Source organism: Homo sapiens, chromosome 9, assembly GCF_000001405.40.
Source record: "Homo sapiens chromosome 9, GRCh38.p14 Primary Assembly".
Lineage (NCBI taxonomy): Eukaryota > Metazoa > Chordata > Mammalia > Primates > Hominidae > Homo > Homo sapiens.
In genome coordinates, this window is record NC_000009.12 from 39,164,105 (window position 1) to 39,190,676 (window position 26,572).

Here is a 26,572-nt window from a genome sequence, read left to right on the forward strand (position 1 = left end):
TTGCCTTATTTGGTTGATCCTGCTGGAAAGTCTCTAGTTATATAAGTTAATTGGCTTCTGATTGGTTAGCCTTAAGTTTGACTTTTTTTATTTTTAAAGACATTTACAAGAAATAGCTCAAGTTTTGCTTATATTGGTAAATCAAGCAAAGTTAACGCCACTTAAAAGGCTTTGTCTGGTCAGAGATACCTCAGGCCATTTTAATTTTCTTTAACAATTTAAATACACCTGTGTGCCAGAGGACAGCTCAGTGAAGTCTTTGAATGTCTGTGGCTGTATATTTGGAAAAGTATATATTCTTTGCGAAATACCACAAATACTGATGAGGTAAAATGCAATGTACAGGACTGCATGTATATAACAAGTCTCTATTACTAGATCTATACTTCTGTTTACATACAATTTTTATTACTAAGAAAGGCTGAATATATTTACCTTTCCAGTAAGAATTACAAGTAATTAAGTTACCTCAGTAACACTTCAGTGTTTAGGTACAGTGCAAGTGGCTCTCTGTATCTGTGTCCAGCATGGAATTTCATACGTAGTTGAAAACTTTCTTACTCGAGAGTGAGTTTTCTTATCATATATGTGGTGATATGGGATGATAACAGAATGTTGTAATGTACAGGCATCCATGCCCCCAAGTGATAAGTTTTCTCACATGATTGTTTCTCTTAACTGTGGTTTCCAGATATAAAAGCTTAATCTTTGGATTCACAGGAGCATTCTAGAATACATAGCAGGGTTTTGCTGTTATTCCTAGTGGTTCTTTTAATTTAAAAAAATCCAAACTTCCTTTATAATCAAAAGATCCACTTGTTTCCATTTCTTTAGCTGTATGAGTTCTCATAGTCAGTTTGGGCTGCTATTAACAGAATCCCATGAACAGAGTGGCTTACACAACAAACAGTTATTTCTCTCAGTCTGGATGCTGGAAAGTCTAAGTCTGAGTTTGAGGCAAAGCAGATGCAGTGTCTGCTTCACAGACCACAGTGTTCGCCTTATAACTTCACATGGCAGGAAAGGCAAGGGAGTTCTCTTGGGCCTCTTTTATAAGGGCACTAATTCCATTCATTAGGGCTCCACCCTCCTGACTTAATTACCCTCCAAAGCCTCCTGACACCATGACTTTGGGGTCAGGATTTCAACATATGAATCTGGGGTGGGGAAGCAAACATTCAATACTTTGCACCAGTGTAACACCAATTATACTGGATTCATTTAATATGTTTGTCTCCTATTAATTAATATTTGTTTACATTGTCAATGTTTTGAAAGTACTTCATAATCAGTATATTTCCTATTACGCCTTCTCCATGTAAAAAATATTTATCCATCTATCTATAAACTGAGCTGTGTACTAATAATGATTCAATAGTATAGATTTAGATGTAGACTTAAATATATAAGTAATATTTTATGTAAGCCAATGACTTCAGACAGTACGATTTGTTTTGTTTTTATGAGCTAACTGTTAGAAGTATAAATGGATTTATCTGTTGTAGAGATATGACTATGATATTGTTTGAAAGTTTCCACTTATTTACTACATGTAGCTCAAATATATTTTTCTTTTAATGTTAAATGAAAATATGAAGTTATTTAAACAGCAAGTAAACTTTCTGCAGATACTTATTTTTGTATTGGGAAGAAAAACTGATTAAATGTTTCATGTTTTTTATAAACTCAAAAGGTATTAATTTCATGGCTAGAGATAAATTATTTCTTAGTATCAACTTGGTTTAAATTTGACTAGAGACTCAAAATGCAAAGCAATAAAGATAAAAAGTGGTTCCACTGCCAGTGTCATTCAGTTGCCTTCTCTTACCTCCAAAATAATAGGTGTCACCTGAATCAATGAGCACAGCCACCAGGGGCTGAACAGCTGTGTCATCGTCCACCACCACATTCATATGGCTCCACTTGGCAGAGAAGGACACAGAGTGCCACTGCCCATCGTTTAATCCAGCACCTGGAGGAAATACAATCAGTCAGAGACAACTCTAAATTATGAGCTCTGTAAACACTTGAAAACAATTTGATTCAGATCACTGAATAAGTCAGAGAAGAGTGGTATTTACATGTTCATGTATCACTGAAAAAAAAATTAACCACCTATCTTTAATTTAAAAATTTCATTTATTACGAAAATAACACATGAATAAAAATATTACTCTTTCTGAAGAATCACTGTAACAAATTCTGGTAATTTGCTTAAAGTAACTAGAATTTAATTATCAAATATATACAGTAGGAGCCTTTACAATGGGATAAAAACAACACAGTTTGGTTTAATCTTCAAATGCAAAACTTACTTGCTTTACTGAATCTAACAAAAACATTTTACAAGAATCAAGAAAGTGAGTTGATAAAAAATACGTCAAGAATGATTGTGAAAAGTTTTTTTTAGAAAAAGTTGACACATAATTGCACATACTTATGGGGTGTGACAGGATTTGAAATGGAAGATCACTGGATGTCTGGCTTACTGCACCTATTAATTAAGGTAAACCCTGCTTTCACTGTCTGAGCTATTTTACAGCCCTGTAAATTGTAGAAAACTGATAGTAATGCAAAATGACTTGTACCCATAGAAATACAAATGACTAGTGCCTGGCGAGGTGCAGTTGCTTACTGAACCATTTCATATCTGTCTGTAATTCATTTTGGCATTTCTTATCTGCCTGTATGTGTAGTACTTTGAATTATCCTCCGAACTGATTGTAACATCTTACTGGTTTCTTCATAGATTAGTTAAAATCTTTAACATATATTCGTGTGTTTCTGAATTAACAAATTATGATTATAGATATAATTATACTGTCTTTTAAAAGTTATTATTCGCTGGGCATGGTGGCTCATGCCTGTAATCCCAGCAGTTTGGGATGCTGAGGCGGGCAGATCACCTGAGGTCGGGAGTTCAAGACCAGCCTGGCTAACATGGTGAAACCACATTTCTACTAAAAAACAAAAAATTAGCTGGGCATGGTGGCACTAGCCTATAGTCCCAGTCACTTCGGAGGCTGAGGCACAAGAATCACTTGAACCTGGGAGGTGGAGGTTGCAGTGTGCTGAGATCACACCACTGTACTCCAGTGTGGGTGACAGAGTGAGACACTGTCTCAAAAAGATAAAATAAAATAAAATAAAGCTATTATTTAATATTTGATAAAAAATGCTTAGGAAAGAACTGGAGTTGTACTTTATATATGTGCAATATTTTTATATATTTACACTCACATCCACATTATTTTATGATTCTTAGTAGTAATTATGAAATTAATCCTGTCAAATAATTTGGTAACAAAATGAATTGTCTTTGATGGTAAAGTTAAATGTTAAGGTATTTAAAATCACTAGAGGTATTCTGTGCTTTCTTTTACCTGATAATATGTCAAAGATACATGCCAATAAATGGGCTAAAAATAAGATTAGCTTCATGAGGCCTATTAAATTAACTTTGCACTGAAGTTTAAAATTAGGCCAAGATTGAAACTATTTCAGAAGTTACATATATCATAATAAACTTTAGACTAATAGAAATTTTCCTATAAAGTTAACATTTTACTTGATAGTCCTGGGAAACCTGTAAATTATTAAAATGACTCTATGCTTCATTTATTTTTCTTCCTAACATGCATTTATGTGAAGTTAGTATATTATTACCATTTCAAATGTAGTACTTCTTAAAAATTAAACATTAACATTAATATTTTAGCTTTCCCTTTTAACCTTCAGTGATGTATGAAACAGAAACAGAAGTAGTAATAAAGTGTAAGGAAATAAATTATTCTTTAAAATCAACCAAGATTCTGGATGTCTTCAATGTAAAACTAGGCATTGTCTAAACACAATCTGGAGGATTATATGATTCTGCAGGTTTCTGTGCCTTTTACCTTGAGTTTTTTTTTGTTTTTGTTTTTTTTTTTTGAGATGGAGTCTCGCTCTGTCACCCAGGCTGGAGTGCAGTGGTGCCATCTCGGTTCACTGCAAGCTCCGCCTTCCGGGTTCAAGCCATTCTCCTGCCTCAGCCTCCTGAGTAGCTAGGACTACAGGCACCCGCCACCACGCCTGGCTAATTTTTTTGTATTTTTAGTAGAGATGGGGTTTCACCGTGTTAGCCAGGATGGTCTCAATCTCCTGACCTCGTGATCTGCATGCCTTGGCCTCCCAAACTGCTGGGATTACAGGCGTGAGCCACCACACCTGGCCCCTTCTTTGAATTCTTTTACCACCCTGTGAATTGTAGAAAATTGAAAGCAGGCAAATGATTATTGTCCATAGACATGCAAATGAATTTTGTCTGGCAGGAATACAATTGAACTTCTTCCTGGTTCCTCTACCCCATCCCATGGAATAAGCCAGTTTTACATTATACACAAAATCATTGCAGCAGTAACATCTTACTGATTCTCTCATAAACTAATGAGTTAAACAAAATCTTTGACATGTTCTTTTTATAACTGCAAAAAGTGCCCTCTTTAAGAATATCTTTTGACAAATAAAAGCAGATCTTTGTATAACTGTTTTCATGTCTATCATCCACATTTGTTTTATTTTTGTTTTCTATTAGGTTGTATTTGGCCTTTGGCCATAGTTTATGCACAAGAAAATCAGATACAGTAGAATCTATAAATATTTCAATGAGAAGTTACTAAATTAATTGCCCACAACATAGATGTTATTTTAAACACATTTGATATGAAGATGATCTCTTGTTAACAACTACAACATTTTAACTGCAGAGGCAAAATATCACACTCACAAAGCCATGAGCTAAAGCAAAATCCTGATGAGATTTAAGAACTTTAATTATATTTAATTCTAGTTATTGTGCAACCCAGAACTGGATGAAGTGCTTGTTCAGCACTTCATTGAATCCAGAATATATGCAACTCATCAGCAGTAAAACTGAACCAACTACTATAGGAAAAAAATTGAGGGCAGTCTTTGCAATGGGCAAAGGAGATTACTGGGTATCTTTTCAATGGAAAGATTAGCTGATATTACGGGATTGTAAACCATCATCTTGGACTAGGTTACTTTACAGCTGTGTAGTGACAGAAGTTAACTTGCAGAACATTGATAATAATGCAAATAATGCTTGTCCATAGAGATGCAAAGTGTGTACAGGGAAGGGATTTGCCTTTCCCTTTGGATATTGACAAGTTTAGCTAGTCGGCATCTCTTTTCTGACTATAAATGTGTGGTACTTCTTTAAACAGGCCTTACTGGTGTAAGGGTAAACACAAACCAAAACAAACAAAAGCTTTCTTAGTGCTAAAAGGGATACACACTTTCATTCACTTTTTTTCCTTAGAGCATTTCTTTCAGAAAACTTGTAATTGTACATCTTTAAAATCTTAAAACAAAATCTTATTTAGCCTCTTTCTTGTTTCCAGGAGTGTTTTTCTTGAGGACCTTGGAGACATTTCTTTGAAATGTAAACACCAAGAAAGGCAGTGCTCCTATCTCCTTGTCTCCGTGGGAGTTTAACGTAGGTGCCTGGCTCCAAGTTGCAACTACCCACTTGTCAAAGAGACATGGAGTTTAGTTTTCCTTTGCATAAAGGAGTGTGCCTCCCCAATCACCAGGTGAATGTAAGATGGGCTGTGTAGCAAACGGCGCTGTCAAGTCCTCTTACTTGAGGACAAGCTGTCCTTTATCTTTAGAACATGTATGTAATGGGTTGTATCTGCCTGGCTATATAAATGGATGAAATTTCTTTATCTTTGCAATCACATTAGCGATTGCCTGAAATGTACATCACAGTCTGGCTTAATACTTATTCCATAATAAGATTATTTCATTTCTACCTTGTGAAACTGATTCACTATGTTGGTGGGCCATTTTATCTTTACTTATTTCCCTAACACTGGTTCTCTCATCAATGAGTTAAAGAAAATCTCTGACATGTGTTCATTCTGTATCTGTGTGTAGGTCACGATTTTAACCTTTCTTGGAAAAAATCTTATTCGTGAGGAAATGGAAACTAGGTTTGCATTTCTAAAAGATAAAAAATATACGTCCCCTCTGAATATCTGTTTTATCTCCCCTGAAACACCTGTGTGAGGTGGACATAGATTCTAACACCCAGGACTTGCCTGATTGTTCCAGAAGTACTGAGATAAGGCCCCGCCCTCTGAATTTCTTCACGGGTCTTGAAATCGTGCTTTTATACCACAACATTTAATAGCAGTATAGTCACGTGTGCCTCTTACAGCCAAAAGGAATCTTTTTTTGAGTATGATTACCCCCTGGTCTCAAGCAGAAGTCAGCCTCTTCGTCTGTGCCTTTTTCTTTTTCAGATTACGCTTTTTTTTTTTTTTTAAAGCCCCCATTTAGTTCCGATGCCAATTTAGGCACAATGTCAATTTAGGACCCAGTGCTCCTCCCATCTGCAAATCCAAAATCATCAAAATCCAGCAGCTCTGTAGTTAACAAACTTGCCCACATCTGACTGCATGTGAGATTAGTTCCCATCTATTGTAACTCAGTCTGGCTTCATGGGATTTGAGCCCCTAACCTAGCATTTGCCCAACAAAAACAGGCCCTGATGGGGAGTGGGGATGTGAGGGCCTGTGTGTGGGGTGGGCATTGTGCTAATAAAATCAGACTTCCTATTGTTCTCCCTGCAAAGGAGATCTGAGGTTTACCACTTCACAAGTGAAAACAGCTGAGGCTTAGGAGGCTTCGTGATTTACATTTCAGAAGGGCAGTAAGTGGAGGAGCTGAGATTCTTCCAGGGTGCCCAGCTATCCCAGAAAACGAATCAGCCATCAACGAAAGAATAAGAACTCTTGGTATTTGCCGGGCATCTTTCCCTGTAAAGTGATAGTTATCAATTGCCTACTGTGTATAGAATATTTGTGCACAGACCCTGAGCGGCGGGGCGGAGAAGGGAAAGGAGGAGGAGGACAGGAGAGGAATGTGCCTCTAGGTATTGTCTGTTCCATGAGGTCCTGACCCTAGTTCTTTGGGATGGAGGCTGGTATATGTTTGTCAGGAAATGGAGCTCAAGGATATTCCTTGTATATGGGAAGGTATGTCTGCAGAAATATGCATTTCATATTTCTCATACATAGTCATTTTGGTCAAAAGAACACTTTAGTGGCAGCGGGGTGTACCACACAGAACAGTCTAAAAGGAAACAGCAATCTGTTCCTCTAGTGGGGGCATGGAGCATCTCACTGCCTCACTCACTCACTAATTACCAAATGATTTCCGTGTGGATATGTCAGGTTTATGGGAATACAACTGTTACCTGCTGTGACATTCCTTGGTGACTGTCCCGGCTGGAAGAGACTCAGTTTGAGCTTGCCATCCTTAAGAAAGAGGACGAAACTCCCTGAACCACGTCGAAGTTCGCCGAAAAGCAAATGTCCTGCTCTGTTCCACGTTCGAAATTGAAAAGTGACAGACACTTTGTCCTCCCCAGAGTTGCCTGGCAGAGCCAGATAACTCCTGGAGCTCAGAAAAGTCACAGGGACAGTCTGTGGCTGTGGACATGAGAAGGACACATTTCCCTATAAATAAAACAAAAGAGCACATTGAGCAGCCTTACAGGTGGTGCTTCTATCTAATTAAAGCCAGATTTTACGAAGACGTACAAGGCTTTTTATCAATCCAGGATTAGTCTGCCTGCTAAAGCTGAAATCTATAACATTTATCTTCTCTTTCAACATAAGTATTATTATAATTGGGCACACATCCATGTGGCTTTCTGTGTGTGTGTGAGAAATTCTCCACTTCTCTACTTCTCAGCATTAGTAAAGGAGTCTCAATATAATTTTAGTTCAACAGGAGTTTAATCTATGCCAGCTATTTTCCAGGCCCTGTGCTAGCCCTGAGGATACAGCAAATAACAGGACATTTTCATACTCAGTCTTTCTCCTGAGCAACATTTGGTCTTCTCTACACAATCCTCAAAATCTCTTTTGAACCAGCTTACTATTTTACTGGTTCCCTCATTAATGAATTGACTAAATCTTTGACACATGCTTATTTGATATTTGTATGGGTCATATTTTTAGCTGTTGGAAAGTTATATTTGACAGCCTTTCAAATGGTTTTCAGATCTAATAGTTATATGCAATGTTTGCATATAGTATTTTTAGCATGAAAACATTGATGTTTTTATATAGTCAATTATGTCTATATTGTATTTTACAGCTTCTGAGTTTCCAATCTTTGTTAAGAAAGTTTCATACTACCCTAGGTCCTACATACAATCTCATAGATTTTCTTTAAGATTGTTGTTTGTTTCTCATCCTCTTTAATTTACATATTCTTAGTGTGTATAAGATAGTGATCATGCTTATTTTCTGCCTTATGGACACTTGTTTGTTCCGGCAGAATTTCAGAAATAATTCATCCCTGTTCCACTGAATTGAGCCACATTCCTTGTTACTAACAACTTTGCACATAAACTGGGATCTTTCTGAGATCTTGACTGTTCTACTGACTTCTCTGTTCCTATCCACTACCATACTGATTCTAGTATAGAAGCTTTTAGTATGCTTTAATATCTGGTAAGTCAACATCTTACTAGGTTTTTAAATGGTTTTTGTTTGTTTGTTTGTTTTGCTTTGTTTGGCTGGTGAAAGGAATAAGCAATTCTTGGGCATTATTCACACATAGGAATTTCAGTTCCAGAGAAAAACCCCAGTAATTCTGATTTTACTTGGAATTTCCATGGATTTATTTCTAATATACTATAAATGATTTTAGAAAAAGAATGTTACTGGAGCAGGACAGATAATCTAGGGTAGTGGCTCTCAAACCTAGCTAAACAGTCGAATCACCAGAAGGGCTCTTAAAATCCAGATACAGACCAATTAAAATCCCGATCTCTGGAGGTAGAGCCAGGTAATGGTATCTTTTGAATCTCCTCTGGTGACTCCAAGATAAAGCCAAGTTTAAGAACCACACTGATCCAGTGGTAAAACAATTTTCAAAACAGAATCACATTTTTAAAAAATTCTGTCCCAACATACTTTAGAAATGGATATAATTCAGTTATCATTTTATAATAATCTTTAATACACATTCTAACTGTATACATCAATCAGAACATTTCTTCTTGACTGTTTTTGTAATTCTGCCAAATGGGAAACAGTTTTCATGACAAGAAAACATTTGCAGAAGAAAATTTAAAAAAGAAAACATTTGCTGTAACAAACTAAATACCAAAAGCTTACAAGTAATTGGCACTGATCCATAGTACACATGTAATCACTGGACTATTACATATTTTTTATCTTTTTATCAGCTGTATATTTCTTGACCTCATCATTTAGGTGGGTAGCTGCCTGCTACAACAGAGAGGCAGGGCTTCTTGCCACAGAGGAGTGCTTGTTAGTTGACTGAATGAATTCTGGCAACTGATTTTCCCAACAAAATACATTTTTAAATGTTTTCCTTTTATATATTGGAACAACTATTTTCCTGTTTTTATACAGAACACATAGAATTGTAGTAATTCTTAAAATGGAATTCCCATAATTAACATTATATATCCATATGCACAATTTGGAATGAATTGTCTTTTTGTTTTTGTGTGAAACTTACACATTTTAATAACCTCATTCAATGTAATTAGTAAATAGTTTTCTTGAGGATGATATCCAGAACCCAGAGATACCAGCTTAATTGTGGTTCTCCTTATTGGCTATACTCAATAATTCCATCAGTGAACCCATCAGTAATTCAGAATAACATGGAATGTATATGAAAACCTGTGTCTGTTGTCCTCAAATAGTCTTGTCTCTTTGTGTCATAAGGCCCAACTCACTCTTCCTCACTTCAATGACAGTGTCTTTGTAAATAGCCCCATAGAAGTTAGGGTGAGGAGGAGGGATTCTTCTGAACACCAAGGACTGGCAGATAAAAGGTAGCTTAATATTCAGAACGTGTTAGGTCAGGCTTCTTGACACGGATGCCCATTGGCCAAACCCATCTTTGTATCTGTATCTGAGTAACGCATCTCCAACAAAGCCAACTTCAATAACCAGGTCTTTTTTCTTTTTCCTGTTGAGCAGCACTTAAATGTCAGTTTCTCCATGGACAGAAACTTTAGGTAGAGGGCTGTTCCATTTATCTCCTTCCTCTTTTCATTTCTTTTTCATCTTGTCAAAGGAAACTGCACTCTGTGGAGCCTTGTTATCACTCTTCCCTTTGGTGTTTCCTTTTTCATGTATCTTGATGGTATTTTTCATTTTTATGATCTCAGCAGGGTGCTGTTCATAGTAAAACTTAGACTTCAAACCCATCTTTTTTTTTTTTTTTCTCCTTTACCTTCTTGGAAAGTTCATGGGCTTCACAGCTGTTTTTCCCTTTTTCTCATGCTAACCTAAGTGATGTATTCATTGTGTGGTCTGGTGACACACAGTCAGAGATATTTTCAGGTTTTGGTCCTGCAACCCATGAGCCAACTCCTCCAGCACATAACAGGAAAGAAAACATGTTCCCAACAATACAAATAAATATTCCCATGATGTGCTGCTGAGATACACTGACAACTAAACATGAGCTTTCCCTTTAACCCCAACTTGGATATTTCAAACTTTAAACATTGAAAGAAGTTTATTAACTGATTTGGAAGTATTTCCAGTTGATTAGGGAATAGATCATTAGGGATTGCCATTGCAAAATGATTGGTCTCCTGTGGATAACAACACCAAAAACACGTGAGACATATGAATTCTGATTTCCATGTAAAAATAGAAAGTTATTTTATTTCATATAAAAATGAAACAACGATGTCCCATGAGGCATATTTACTTTATAACTTTTTATGCATAATAAAAATTACTATATTAGGCTGGGTCAAGGTGGCTCGTGCCTGTAATCCTAGCATTTTGGGAGGCCGAGGCAAGTGTATCGTCTGAGGTCAGGAGTTTGAGACCAGCCTGGCCAATGTGGCAAAACCCTGTCTGTACTAAAAAAAATTAGCCGGGTGTGGTGGCACACACCTGTAGTCCCAGCTACTCGGAAGGCTGAGGCAGGAGAATGGCTTGAACCCAGGAGGCGGAGGTTGCAGTGAGCCAAGACTGTACCGCTGCACTCCAGCCTGGGCAACAGAGCAAGACTGCATCTCAAAACAAAAACAAAAACAAAAACAAAAAAAGTGCGCCTGTGGTCCTAGCACTTTGGGAGGCCGAGGTGGGCAGATCACGAGGTTGGGAGATCGAGACCATCCTGGCTAACATGGTGAAACCCCGTCTCTACCAAAAATATAAAAAATTAGCCGGGCATGGTGGTGGGAACCTGTAGTCCCAGGTACTCGGGAGGCTGAGGCGGGAGAATGGCGTGAACCCAGGAGGCAGAGCTTCACTGCACTCCAGTCTGGGCGACAGAGTGAGACTCCGTCTCAAAAAAAAAAAAAAAAAAATTGGCCCAGGCCCAGTGGCTCACACCTGTAATCCCAGCACTTTGGGAGGCCGAGGCAGGCAGATCACCTGAGGTCAGGAATTCGAGACTAGCCTGGCCAACATGGCGAAACCCCGTCTCTACTAAAAGTACAAAAATTAGCTGGGCATGGTGGCGGGCGCCTGTAATCCCAGCTACTCAGGAGGCTGAGGCAGGAGAATTGCTTGAACCTGGGAGGCGTAAGCTGCAGTGAGCTGAGATTGCGCCGCTGCACTCCAACCTGGGAGACAAGAGGGAGACTCTGTCTTAAAAATAAATAAATAAATAAAACTAAATTACTATATTACATGGGCAGCTGTTAAAGTAAGAACTGATTCTTAAAATATTAGATGAAATGGAGACTTCACATGAATAATTTTTAAATGCAAAAAATAAAATGTCCTTTTTTCTTTCCTTCCCATTAGGCTTCCTTACCATCATGAGGATCTGTGGTTTGTGTTTCTTGGCTAATTCGGTAACATCCACTCCATTATAATAAAGATTTTCTAAACACCCATGAAAGCTTTTACGTCTGAATGCCCGCGATCTTCCGGGTGTCGGAATTCCCCCAAAGCTGATCTTAGAAAGAAAAATGACATAAATAACATTGTTTAGTGATTTTCTGATGGTACGTGTTTAAAGCATTTATAATTAATAGGTCTAGTACTAACTGTCACAAATCCATTCCCATTATCTTATATTTGCATGCTTGCTTATTCCAAATGAAGTGTTCTATCATAATGACAGCTGTTAATACCTTTATTTCTGGCACCACACAGTTTTGAACAAACTTAAAAGGAAGAAGTCAACACACATTTTCTGCCACATTGAAATTTTCAGCCATGTAGTAAATTTACCCTTTGTGGGTCATATGATCTCTTTTGCAGCACTCAACTCTGACACGAAGTACCAATGTGGCCACGGACAATACATAAAGAAAGAGAACATGTTCCAATAAAACCTTCTCTTTTGAACAAAAACAGGCTTTGTATTTTTTTAATTAAAAAATGTCCAAACTTGGCCTGATGCCCATAGTTTGCCAACCTCTGCATTAGATATTATCTTTTGCTATTACATGGTTAAATTAAAGTAATAAAACTGAATAATCCGGTATAGGACTAGGATCTTCAGTTTAATATTATATGCCAAAGCCACTTACGCCAGTAAATATCACAGTTTTTCTGGTTTGTTATGATCCTTCATACACTTTAAGGTGTCCTGTAAAGGACTGAAAGAATAGATGCTATTTAACAGTGTAGCTTAGATACATATGGGCAATGGGTTGCAAAAAGCATTAATGACTTAAAAAATATCAGGATATTATTTATATGTGAGCATCTGACTTTTCTTGTTATTTAATAAATCTATTGGTGTATATCTTGTTAACTTCTCAAAGTGATCCTAAATAATGCTATGTTGGTTAGGATTGCACCAAGACAAGAAAAAAAATCCCCCAGGAATCTGCATAGTCAAACAACAAGTGTAATATACCAGATGAAATTTCAAATGAAATATATTCAAATGAGTACATTTAATAACAATGCTTGCTACTTTGGTATTTCTGCATTTGTGGATTTCCTAAACCTAACACTGACTGTTTACTTCTTTCCAAGGTGGAAAAGATGATCTATTATAATAAACTGACCTATTAGAAGGCATAAACAGTTTCATAGTACCGGGACAGACATACCATACCTATTACTATTAGTCAACTTAGTTATGAATTACTATAAAATGGCATTTCTCTATGCAGCTACCTTATTTTTCAGGTTATATTTAATTTAAACTATATATCTATAATAACCTCAAAATTAAGATCCAAGTAACTGGAATCTCCCTTTGCTTGGAAATGATGAGTGTGTTTGTCCACGGTGAAGTTGACCTGCGTGTCGAGGAGCTCGATGAGGACGGAATGCCAGTGCTGGTCGTCCAGCAGGCTGCCCAGGGTGAGGGTCACAGGAGCAATAGTGGAAGGCAGCTTAGCATTGCCTTAAAGGAGAAGGAAAAAAACAGTTATTTCTGTTCAAAATCACAGCTTCCCTTTTTTAGTTGAGCATCACAGTTTGCATCCAACTTTCCATCTTACAGAGTTGTTTTCTCACTTTCTCCCTATCTTGAACACAATAACCTTACCCTGTTTTTATTTTTTTTAAGTTCAATTCTACACTTTGTTGAAATTTTTCTTAGTATTTTTTCTATTACTCATGACATTTGGATTTACAATGCAAATATTTTCTTTCTTAGAACCTCATTATCAGCATTATCTCATAATTTTATAATGATGTATTGTCTTTATGATATGGATAATCATATATTACATATATATTATACACACATATGGTGATCTTGCACAGTTTGTCAAAATATATGCTGTTTACAGAAATCATACTTAGGATATGTATGTATTGCATGCATCTGGTAGTAATGCTCTTAAATTTTCATTTACATTTGTTCATTGCAGTTCTACTTTGCACTTACTGTCCCAGAGTAACTATCACTTGTGTATTTTTTATTTCTTAAAGGTGTTCTGGTTTAGATGATGAATTATATGGTCATTTTATCTAACTGTGAAAAGACTGAGTACCAACAAATGTAAACAGATTTTTTTTAACTACTGGTATAAAAGTTCAAGTATTTTTTTACCTGAATTAAGAAAAAAGACAAGCTTTCCTTTAATTAATTCCAGAGTAATGTGATTTCCATGTTGTCCTTCTCTGTGAAGTAGAATTCCATTGCTCTGCATGGCTTTAAATTTCAAAGAAATAACGTCTCTTATTGGTTTTAAAGGTTTTTTATCAAGTCTATACAGCAGAGCACTTTGTCCATCAAAATAAACCACCTCAGATTCTAGGAAAGAAGATATTAGAAAGCAATTCTAAATATAAATATGTCATACAGTAGCACATTGAAAATGTGTGCATCAATATGCCACACCACACACACATAGACACACATTGTATTTCTAAGCCATTCATTGAAGGAAACAACTGACAATAATATATTTTCTGGTGGCATCATGAGTTGATATATGTAATACCCACCGTTAGAATTTTCTAACATTTTCTCAAACTTCATCATCTAGAAATGCTTTTATTAATCTACTCCCAATGGCTCTTATCTTTAGAGCAGCCCATTTCTTCTCATTCTGTTTGATTAAAAACAATCAGGAAAGAAGCTGTATTTCACTACATAAATTATTTATTTTAAGGTCATTCTTATATTAAATATCAGTGTCACTCAATTTAAATACCTTTGTTCATTCCCAGTAGCTTTGGCTTCTCTTGATTCTTACACATGTACCTACTTTACTAAAGATTTTGTCTGTAAAGATACAGAAACACATATCATACTTATTAAATACTGCTTTAGACATGTAATAAATGTATTTTAAATGAGCTGACATGTAATATTTTTCTCAACCCTCGGCTAATGGTACTGCTAATGGGCACTGCAATGTGTCAACTTGGCTAGGCCATGGTAAACAGCTTTTGGTCAAACACTAGTCTTGATGTTGCAGTGCAGGTATTTTTTAGAGGTAATCAATATTAAATCAGTAAACATTGAGTAAAGCAGGTTAAACTCTATAACGTGGGTGAGCCTCATCCAATCAGTTGAAGGCTGTAAGAGAAAGAAAGAAAACTGAAGTTCTCTAGGAAAGAAGGAATTTTGCCTCCAGACAACCTCTGGACTCCAGCTGCAATATCACCTCTTACCTAGGACTTGCCAGTCCTTACAATCAGGTAAGCCAATTCCTTAAAACTCTCTCTCTCTCTACACACACACACACACACACACACACACACACACACACACACACACACACACACAGGCACACAGACATCCTATTGGTTCTGTTTCTCTGGAGAGCCCTGTCTGACAAAGGCACAGAGGTTTTGTTTTCTTGGATGCTTTGTTGAGAGAGCATGGCCTTAACACCTCTGTTTTGGTTCTTCCTGCTGTAGCTTGTCAGAACTCCAATGCTGCCACACTCTCTCAGCACTCTGTCAGGGTCTTATAAATTCACTATAAATGTCACATATGTTCAGCTCATCAAAAAACAAGTTGTTTCATTTTATCAGTAATATAAAATAATATTTGATAATATTTGTCAAAATCACATGAAGAAATTAATATTACCCAGAAAATCTCTTCTTTTTAAAAGTAAAAAGAAAAATAAGCAATTGTCCTTTGAAAAATATATTTATTTAATAAATGAAGATGCATGAAAACCTAGTGAAATATGAAACTATTTGAAGCTGACTAGCTGATGTCATTCAAGCCAATAAGATGGCATTGTTTAATTATATTTAATTTCACAAAAATATTACTAGTACTTTTTGCATGGCTATCCATTTCATTCACATTATCTGAAATACATATAATAAACTGCACTTCAAAAGTTCTCCATTTTATGTATCATTTTAAAATTTAGAAGTTTGATTTTCTCACATTGGGTTAATGTACTTACAAGGAATTAATGTATCAAGTGCATGATGAATAAACACATTCTGAGTAAAATATGTGTAAATTAAACAATTATTCCTTGTTACATAACTTATTATATGTTCATGATAAAAACAAAACTCTCTGTCAAATGTAAATGAAGACATCTAAGATTATTATTACCTGGCCATGAACTAAGGGAAACCTGAAAAAGATTGACTACAGACTTTCACATTTTTAGCACTGCCCTAATACTTATAATCATGTCTTTATTTGTTGCTTAAAGAAAATGCTAATATTTGAGCTATTTTTTTTTTTTAGTTGACTAACAAAAAAAGTTTTCTTCCCGAAAAGGTTTTTTCTGGATTATTGCAACCTATACATTTCTTTTTCTCATTCTATGTTTACTATTACTCTCCAACAGCAGTATTGATCTTCTAAGGCATGTGAAGTACAGTTCCTGGAATGTTTCCCTCAGGCAAATAGAATAGTAAAACACTTATCAAGTAAAAGAGACATAAAGCAATGACCTTGAAACTCTTTTGTTCTTTAGCTAATACCTTGATTTTTTCTTTACTGTAATCGCTAGTGCTTGTATCTAGAAATTTAAGAATATACTTATAGCTCATTATGCATATTTTAAAATAAAAGCAGATTAATGAATTGCAAATCCAAACTTTCTAAAAATCATAAAACATTCTATGATTTATGAAGTCAATACATAAAAATATGAAACAAAAAATGATGTTTGGGATGGAAAGCATTGAGTTCAATAAGTCAACAGTAACGAGCCCACCAAGATCAGCACTGGAGAGGGACAACTCCCATGTAGTCCCTCTTGAATAAGATCCTCCCACTGGAGAAGCAAAATTTCAAGTCTTGGTCCTTAGAAGTAATGCTAAAAGGTAAACTCTCTTCCCACTTGTCCACAAAAGTCATACTTTTAGCATTTTAAAACACTTGCAAGAGCAAAGAAAAGTTCTCCCAGCTGGTCAGGTGCAGTGGCTCATGCTTGTAATCCCAGCCCTTAGGGAGGCTGATGCGGGCAGATCACTTGGGCCCAAGAGTTCGAGACCAGGCTGGGCAGCATGGCAAGACTGGTCGCACTTGCTTATATTCCCAGCTACTTGGAAGGGGGAGGTGGGAGGATCGCTTGAGCTTGGGAGATGGAGGCTGCAGTGAGCAGTGCTTGTGTCACTGCACCCCAGCCTGGGCAACACAGCAAGACCCCATTTCAAGAAAAAAACAGTTCTACCTAGCCATAATCAATGCAAATATTCCCCTACAATATATATTTGAATAATACACTAAAATAAAATAATTCCAGTAACACATTTAATATAATCTTTTCTCAGAAACCTGTTGGAAAAAATCCTTTGTATGAAATTCAATTATATAAATAGGAAATGTAGTGGGATACTGGAAAATTAATGTCACTTATTATGTTTACGATAAAATCCAACGTTCCTCAAAGTTTTCAGAATGAAAGCCTTGCTATCCAAAATGAATAAAGAAAACTTAGCTTGTGGTTTAAAGCAGGAAGTGCTTTTCTAATTTTACATGAATTTAGTTTATAATTATTAGCTTTATTAATTAAGATTATAGTTTTGATTGCTGAATCTCAATCAGTATTAGCAATGTGGACCCCTGACACGTTAGTCTGTCACCATTAGATCAGGAGCTACATTTTCTAGTACACTAGAGTATATACTGCGTGGGCTTGAATCCTGGCTCCATCCTGGATAAGTTACATAGCCTCTCTCTGCCTCAGTCTACTCATAAGTGAAGTGAGAATACATACACTCCTCTCTCACAAGGTCGTTGCGAGGGTTAAATGAGTTAGTATTTGTACTTTTACAACAGTGCTGGGCACATGGGGTACCTTCAGTGAACGACGGCTTCATTATTATTGTCAGGGCACTGGGCAGAAAAAGAGGTGGAAATGAGTTTAAAATAGCACATAGGGGATATATAGGAAAGTAGACAGCTTAAAATGATAGCGGATTTAATTTTTGAAGGACCTAGGAAATCTTCAGTTTCCACCAGGAAAAAGAGATTTACAACCATTCATCCACACTTACACAGCTCCTTCTCTGCCAGCCAGCTTGTTCCTGGGCTGACTCACTTCAATCACTGGTAACCTAAATCTTACTCAGAAGTATTAATATATCTATCTCATTTTCTTGTGTTAGAGGACCACTAGAGTTTTTAAATGATACTTGAAGATTATTGGTGCAATTATAATGTTTTTGTCACACTTCCTCAAAGAATATCGGAAAAGCTAAGGACAGATGTGTTCACAAAGTTCCCAAATACGAATTCTTGTAGATAAAGAACTTTGTCATACAAGGAAGAACTGTGTCAGAAGTAATTTTGCTAAAATGTGTTATGTCCTCATTCATACAGCTAATATTCACTGAAAGCCTTCCATATGCTAGGTGAAAGATAAAAATGCAGAAGACAATGAATTACTTTTAAGGATCCCACAGTATGGAAAAAAGGTCATATAATCCTGAAATACGATTGTTTCTGCCACATTCACAGTGATGCTTCTGTAAACAGGCATCTGGTCCAGAATGACTTCTAAGAAAGGATAAGGAAGGAGTCTACCTGCTTTAGACTCCTGCAAAGTATGACGTCTCTGAAAAGCTAAGACATAAGTAATTTTGAGTTGCTATTTCCTTTATTTCCTTAAGCCATATTTTACCTTCACATTTTACTTTTATTAGAAACAGAGACTCACTCCGTTGCCCATGCTGTAGTGCAGTGGTATCTTCACAGCTCACTGCAGCCTTGAACTCCTGGGCTAGAGTGATCCTCCAGCCTCAGCCTCCCAAGTAGCTGGGATTATAGGCATGCACTACAATGCCTGGCTAATTTTTTACTTTTTTTCTAGAGATGGGGGGTCTCACTATGATGCCAAGGCTGGTCTTGAATTCCTGGGCTCAAGCAATCTGCCCGCCTCAGCTTCACAAAGTGCTGAGATTACAGGCATAAGCCACCCCGCCTGGCCTACTTTCACATTTTTCACACCCAGAATGTACTCTTAACTCTGGCTTCTCATTACTACTTTTCTGCTTCTCACTGTCATTCTAAGCACAGGCATGTCTCATCCCCATCCTACCTTGTACTGCCTTTTCAGAGGAAACATCAACATTGCTTGAAAACAGCAAGATTCCATAGGGTGCAAACACTGATGTCTTACAGAAGAAAAAAAAAAACACGATTCCACAGAAATTTTCTTAAAGTGTTCTATCAACCACCTTCACTCAGATTGACTAGGAGTGATCACTTGGAGACTTTAGAACGTGAGCCTCAACCAGACCAGGAATCAGGATTTCTGTGGTTGAGACCCAGGGGTTTGCATATTTAATAAGCTAACTAGGTAGCTGTGATGACACGAAGGCTTCAGGATGATTTATCAGGGATAATGGGCAGATTACAGAGGTTTACTCTCTAAATAAATTGAATGTTAATTCCAATATGGGGTGAGGCACAGGGGCTCACACTGTAATCCTAGCACTTTAGGAGGCAAAGGCAGGTGGATCATTTGAGGTCAGGAGTTCAAGACCAGCCTGGGCAACATGGTAAAATTTCTACTAAAAATACCAAAAAATCAGCTGGGTGTAGTGGTGCATGCCTGTGATCTCAGCTACTCAGGAGGCTGAGGTGGGAGAATAGCTTGAACCCAGGAGGCAGAGGTTGCAGTGAGCCAGGATTGCTCCACTGCACTCCAGCCTGGGCAACAGAGAGAGACTCTCTCTCAAAAAAACAACAACAAAACCCACAATTCCAATATGGAAACATGAATATCATTTTCATAGAGTTATAATTTATATTCAATAAATTTAAGGTTATAGTTCAATGAGTTTTAATAAATATATATACCTACCTTATTGCCAAAAAATCAAGGTGTAGGCAATTTCATATCAACTCACTAATTGCCATTTGCATCAAACCCCCAACACTGTCACCCAGACCCAGACCCAGGAAACCAATGATCTACATTCCGTAACTACAGATTAGTTTTGTCAGTTCCAAAATTTCATAAAATTGTATCGTGTATGTGTTCTTTTGTGTCTGCGTTCCTTCTTAAGTGTAACGTTTTTGAAATACACGCATGCTGTTGCATATATCAACAGTCTGTTCTTTCTTATTGCTTGGGGTATTCAACTGTTTGACAACTTGTTTATCCATTTACCTGCTGATAGACATTTGAACTGTTTCCAGGTTTAAACTATTATAAATAAAGCTGCTAGGCACATTCACACATACATCTTTATGTTGACATATGCATTCATTTCTGCTGGGTAAATACATGGGAGTGGAATTGCTGAGCTATATATTAAGTGTATATTTAGCTTAGAAGAATGCCAAATTGTTTTCCAAAGTGATAGTATCATTTTCACATTTCCCACCAGCAATGTATAAGAATTCCATATCTTTGCCAAACACTTGGTGTTTCCACCCTTTTTAATTTTAGCCTTTCTGCTAGGTGTATAGTGGTTTCTCATTGTGATTTTATTTCTCTAAAGACTAGTGATGATTCATTTTAATATAATAATAAGTTAGAATAGATGTATTGGGATTCTGTAGATCAATTCGGGGAGGATGATAAGAATATTGAATCCTGCAATCGATGAATACACAAAGCTTTCCTAGGAAATATTTGCCTTTATTCACTCACATATTTTCTTTCCTTCTGGGCATAATAAGAGGAACTTAGGGAAAACAGGCCTTGGTTCTGCATTCTCAGTAAAGGCCTTGATCTCTCTCTTTAATTTTCATGCATGATCTTTCCTCTCTATTTCTTTTCTTTCCTCTCTCTTTTCTCCTTCTCCCATTTCCTGGTAAAGATAGTTGATTGCACAGAGTCTGGAATCCTCTGTGAGTAGGTTCACATTCCAATTCTTCAACTTACTTATTTCTGATGGACAGGGATTTACTTTTTCATCTTATTTTGAGTTTCTATTTATTTTACTTTTTTATGACAAATTTTTTTTTTTTTTGAGACAGGGTCTCACTCTGCCACGCAGGCTGGAGTGCAGTGGCATGATCTTGGCTCACTGCAGCCTTGACCTCACTGGGATCAAGCAATCCTCACACCTCAGCCCACTGAGTAGCTGGGACCACAGGCACACACCACCATGTCCAGATAATTTTTGTATTTTTTGTAGAGATGGAGTTTTGCTGTGTTGCCCAGGCTGGGCAATCAAGTAATCTGCCTGCCTTGGCCTCCTAAAGTCCTGGGATTACAGGCATGAGCCACTGTGACCAGCTTTATTTATTTTTAAAAAAATTTGTTGAAATTTAATTAGCACTTCAGTGTTTTACAGAAAAATAATTTTCCAAAATATTAAGTAGATTGTATTATAAACACATTATTATATGAAAAAATTATATACACTTTGTTTTCTTCAACACATTTCCCATGGCATTAAAAGAAATGCAGTTAGTTATATTTTCAGTTATGACAAGCAAACATTCAGAAGACTACACTTCCTACCAAGGACAAGTAGAAAATGTGTACCAAGTAAAGTTTAAATAATCTTCTTGAAAGTTTTAAAGATCTACTACGACTGCCAGGACTCAAGAATGTAAAGATCTTAGAAGACAAGCTCAGAACACTCTTTCTGCTTCTACCCTTGAAGCACTGGTCAACTCCCAAGGAGCAATGGGCAAGAGACAAGGTGGCCAAGCAGAAAGTGACAGGACAGCTATGAGGCTGGGTCACGAAGCAGGGGTCTCTGTAGACTCATCATAATTAGGAGTCAGATGGCAGAATTCAGAGATTTTCAAAAAAATGTTTTGGCAAAGGCCTTCAAATCTCAGTTGGGACTAGTGAAGCATTGTACTCCAGATATAAGATATCAACTAGGCCTCATGGGGACTGAGACGCTGCACTGAGTCAGTTAAATGCTTATTTGAATTAACATCTGTGCCTAATCTAGAAGCCTAACAGAGGCTGTGGTGGGGATTCGCTGGGGGATCACTTTGTCTTCTCTAGCCTCTACAAATTTCTGTCCAACATGTCCAGAATTCAGCCAAAATTATCAGACATCAAAACGGAAACAAAAACCAGACAATGGAAAAGATCAAGAGATAATCCAGATATTGAAGTTAACGAAAAATCTTTAAAATAACTGTAATTAATATTTCCAGGAAAATAGGCAGCAAGATAAGGAGTTTCACTAGGATACATGAACAGAAATTCCCAAACTGAAAATCACAGTAACTAAAATTAATAGCTCACTGGCATATTCAACAACAGATTGGTCACAGCAGAAGATCTGATTAGTAGTATAGAAGATAAAGCAGTACACAATGTCTAGACTGCAGCATAAATAGAAAGAAAAGATGAAAGAGGAGAGGGAGAGAGAGAAGCAGGAGGAGGGAGAAAGAGAGAGACAAAGAAAGAAAATAAGATACAAACATCTCAGACAGATGTAATTGGAGTCTCAGAAAGGAGGAAAGGAAATGCGAGACAGAAGCAATATTTTGAAGAAGTAACAGTGAAGAATTACCCAATCTAATAATCACTGCATAGAAAAAAGAAATTTAGTGAAATCCAAAGAGGACAAATTCAATGAAAACTAAAATAGCCACATCAAGGCAAAACTGCTGAAAATCAAAGACAAATAATAAATTCTCAAAAGTAACCAGAAGAAAAATACACATTTCCCTTATAGGATAAAAATCAATTACCTATTGATTTCTTAATAAACATCATGAAAACAATAGAATGCCATCTTTAAAAGGCCGAAAGAAAATAACTACAGACCGTATTCTCCAGCAAGCTGAAACAGCCTTCAGAAGTTCATATAAAATAAAGACAATTTTCAGGCAAACAAAAGCTATATGACAATTTATTACCAGTAGAACTGGGCTAAGACAAATATTAAAAGGAGTCTTTCTAGCTGAAAGAATTTGATTCAGAAAGAGCATGAAAATGCAGAGAAAGTAAATATGTGAGTAAATTCAAGTGAATACTGATTGCAAAAAAAATTATATTAAATTTTGTGATTAAAATATATGTACACATATACACATGTATGTATGAAACTAAAATGTGTCAACATAGCACACATGGTGGGAGGAGTTTAACTAAACTAACATAAGTTGTACTTAAATCCTAGTATTGTTTGGAAAGTGATAAAAGTAGTAGCTCAAGTACCTAGGAGAACAAAATTAGAACAGCAAACAATAGTGGAAAAACTGGAAAAATTAAACTTGATTAACCCAAAAGAAGAGGAGAGAAAAAGGAGTATAAAACAAGTGAACCAAATATAAAACAGAGAGTAACATGTCAGCTACAATTTCACATATGTCAGTAATTACATTTAATATAAGTGGACTAAATATACCAACTAAAACTCAATGATTTCCAGATTTGGTTTAAATAATAAAGAAAGAGTCCTTACATATGAAGACAAAAAGTTTGAAAGTAAAGAATGGAAAAAGTTATTCCATGAAAACACTAACCAGAAGAAATCTGGCATAGCTATACAGTACTATCATCAGAGAATGCAGACTTACAGGCAGGAGGCATTATTAGAAATAAACAAGGATATTTCATAATTACAAAAAATCAACTTTAAGGAAGATAAAACAATTCCCAATCTATATGCATTTAATGAAACAGCTTCAAAATATGTAAAGCATGTATCTCTTTTCATTTTACTGGAATTCATATTTCAGGCATGCTTATTAATGGTAGACACAAAGGAGGACAGTAGGTACACTGTAGAGTTGACTCTGCCTACCATTAGCCAAAGGAAGTCACTGGCTGGCTCAAAAATCAGGGGGCAGGGAAGCATACACCACTCACAGGCACTGGCAAGGAACAGGTGCAGAATTGGTGCCAGTGATGCAAACTAGCACAGCGTGTATATATAAAAGTGATAAAACAATTAAAGGAACTTTACAGAGGTAGGTAGTTCTAACTTCATTAGAACACCAATGAAGAAATACAAACTTGGACCATCTCAGGAGTTATGAAAATTTCCCATGTCTCAAATTCTAATCAAGGACAGGTAAAATTTTGGAAGGGAGAAAATAAAATTTGCTTTTGTCCAGTCACTATTTGTTCTATTTGTTTTGTTTTACCGGAAACCTCCACTTGCCGTCTGTTGTTCCTACGGAAAACAGTACAGCACTCAGTTAATCCAGATGAAGCTGCTAATATTCAACTGTATTTGATCTACAAAACTGGCAAATATATGGTTCAACCAATTATAAGTGAAGCTAGAATGATGAATAAGAAAAGGACTGATTGGTAATAGCATAGCTATGTAAGACAGAGTCTGAATGACATATAAAACTATTTGAAGACTAAGTTATAAGAAAATGTAACAGAAAATGCATGAATAAAGAATTACCTGTGAGTAATAAAAAATGATTTTCACTTGGGACATTATAAAAGAAATCTTCGTGAAAAGAACATTTTAGAATTCTGTTAATTATCTGGGCTGTGCTCCAAGTATTAAAATTTTAAAGAAGAATCCACCACTCCCAGACCCCCTCCCCCACCAAATTTTCCACCATTAAGGGACCAAAAAAGTGGCGAACCAAGCTCTTCTTGGTTATTTATGAAGTCAACCTTGAATACTAACCATTTTCTTTTTCCTTCATGAATTATTGCCCGTGACTTACAAAGGAATAGAAGCCCAATCTCAGTTTAACAGAAACATGAACCAGACAAAAGCCATGTTTGAGTGTTATCTAATGAAAATACTAAAACACTAGCATGGAGTGGAATGTAAGCCCTTAAAATCTGCACTAGCGGACTGGGAATTAAAGAGATGGAAAGGATACTAACCACTTGAGAAAACAACAAGAAGAGGACTGTTCTATTTTTTGCATTAATATCAAAGAAAGTGGAGTGATTTAAAGAACTCTGAAATTGAGGATAATTAAAGCTGGCATGATAAAAAGGAGGAAGGCACAGAATCAAAAACTAAATGTTTATATACAATACAATGCAGCTTGATGCTGTCTCTCTGAAAGTAGAAAAGAAGCTGCCGCCATCAATCAATATAGCAATATATCAAAACAAGTATCAATATAATGATCCTTTATGAAACCTCGGCAGTTATTATCCATCAAGAACATGGAATTGGTAGTCAGAGGACTGGAGTCCTCTCCCTGTCTCTGGTGACTATTTGTAGCTCCTGCACTGCCGGCCCTTGGTGTGGCTTCTCAGATTGCGTACTTGGAACATCTGGGTGTTAATAACTGCCTTTCTACTACATAAAGATGCATCAAGTATCAGATGGAAGAATGGAAACATAACTGTAAAATCTTATATTTGCTATTTTTACTAGAGTTATTACAATTTTTAATACTATACTTTATAACAATATAATCTCCAAGATACCTGCCTTACCTGGATGGCTAGTATAAGAGAGAAATAATCTGAAATTTAGATTCATTATTCAGATTTTATTATCATCTGTCAGACTTTTTTTCTGAATTGCTTCATTCATTCATTCACTCAATGCAAAGCTATGGTGCACTTAGTATGTTCCTGGCTCTGTATTAGGTGCTGATGTTACAGCAATGAATGTACCTTACCCTAGTGTAGCCTGAAGTCTAATGAGGAAAAAGGAAACTAGGCCTCTAATAAGACAGATACAGATACACTATAAAAAGTGACTATAGCACATGAAGTCATACTATAGGCTTCCTGGGAACTTATAATGAGGAAACAAATGTAGAGTGAGGGCCTAGGAAGCATCATTTAAACTGAGATCGAAAAGAGGAAGAGTAAATAGCCAGTTGAGAACATGGGGAAGGAGCATTTCAAGCAGGGGAGACCGCAGGCGTAAAGGCTTTGAGTCAGTAAAAAGCCGGACACAATTGACAGTGGACAGGTAGCAGGTGACGGCAGCAAGAGGTGGCACTGGAGAGTTATTCAGGGACAAGCTCCTTCAGGCCTTGCTGGGAGTCTGGATGTTATTTTAGGAACAATGGAAAGCCACTGATGGTATTAAACAGGGACGTAATTGTATCAGTTCTGCATTTTTAAAAGGTAACTTGAGTTGCAGTGTGGAGAATATAATGTAGTCAGCTATGAACAGAGACAGAATGACCTAAACTTGGAAGGCAATTTCCATAATTTGTGGGACACCAAGTTTAGATTAAGTCGGTAGTAGAGCTAAAGAGAGCTGAAATCATGCAAGGTGTAATTTGGAGGGAAGAATACAGAATTTCGTGACTCACTGGACATGGAGGGCAAGAGAGATAGATGCGTCAAGGACCCATAGGGTTCTGGCCTAAGATTCTGGGAGTTCCCCTTTGTTCTTGAGAGATGCCCTCGAAGGCCTGGACAGGCAGTAGAGCATAGGGAATTTATTTTTCTGTCTAAGGCCTCTGGGAAACAATCCTAGTGTCTTGGGCGTAGCTTTAAGCATGTCTCAACAATCGAGTTTGAACAATCGAATGTGCATGTTTTTCCAGGAATCATCCTGATTATTGTGTGGACTAAAAACTGGAAAGATCAAGACCAGAGACAAATAGCTGATTTAGGAGGCTGGTGCTCATTTAGGCTAAACTGGAGGGAGAGAAAGAAATTCAAAACATTTAGGAGATAGAATCAGGTTTCAGTCAATAGGTGGCTGTTGGTATCGTTTTATAAGATGGAAAACAAAGGAAAATGAGCAGATAGACAACTGAGTTTTAAGTGCTCACAGGGCCAGTGAAGAGAGGTTGGTACCAGAGG

The 26,572-nt window shown here is 36.7% G+C and overlaps 1 protein-coding gene across 2 annotated transcripts in view; it reads right to left on the reverse strand.

The window, feature by feature from the left end:
- Positions 1-26,572, reverse strand: part of CNTNAP3 (contactin associated protein family member 3) — a 223,458-nt gene that overhangs the window by 99,395 nt on the left and 97,491 nt on the right. For both annotated transcript variants that reach the window (NM_001393379.1, NM_033655.5), the window contains exons 5-9: positions 14,053-14,256; positions 13,214-13,398; positions 11,845-11,988; positions 7,265-7,526; positions 1,829-1,972 (exon numbers count right to left, since the gene is read on the reverse strand). In NM_001393379.1, coding sequence (NP_001380308.1) covers positions 1,829-1,972; positions 7,265-7,526; positions 11,845-11,988; positions 13,214-13,398; positions 14,053-14,256 — 939 coding nt within the window. The remainder of the gene's footprint in view (positions 1-1,828; positions 1,973-7,264; positions 7,527-11,844; positions 11,989-13,213; positions 13,399-14,052; positions 14,257-26,572) is intronic.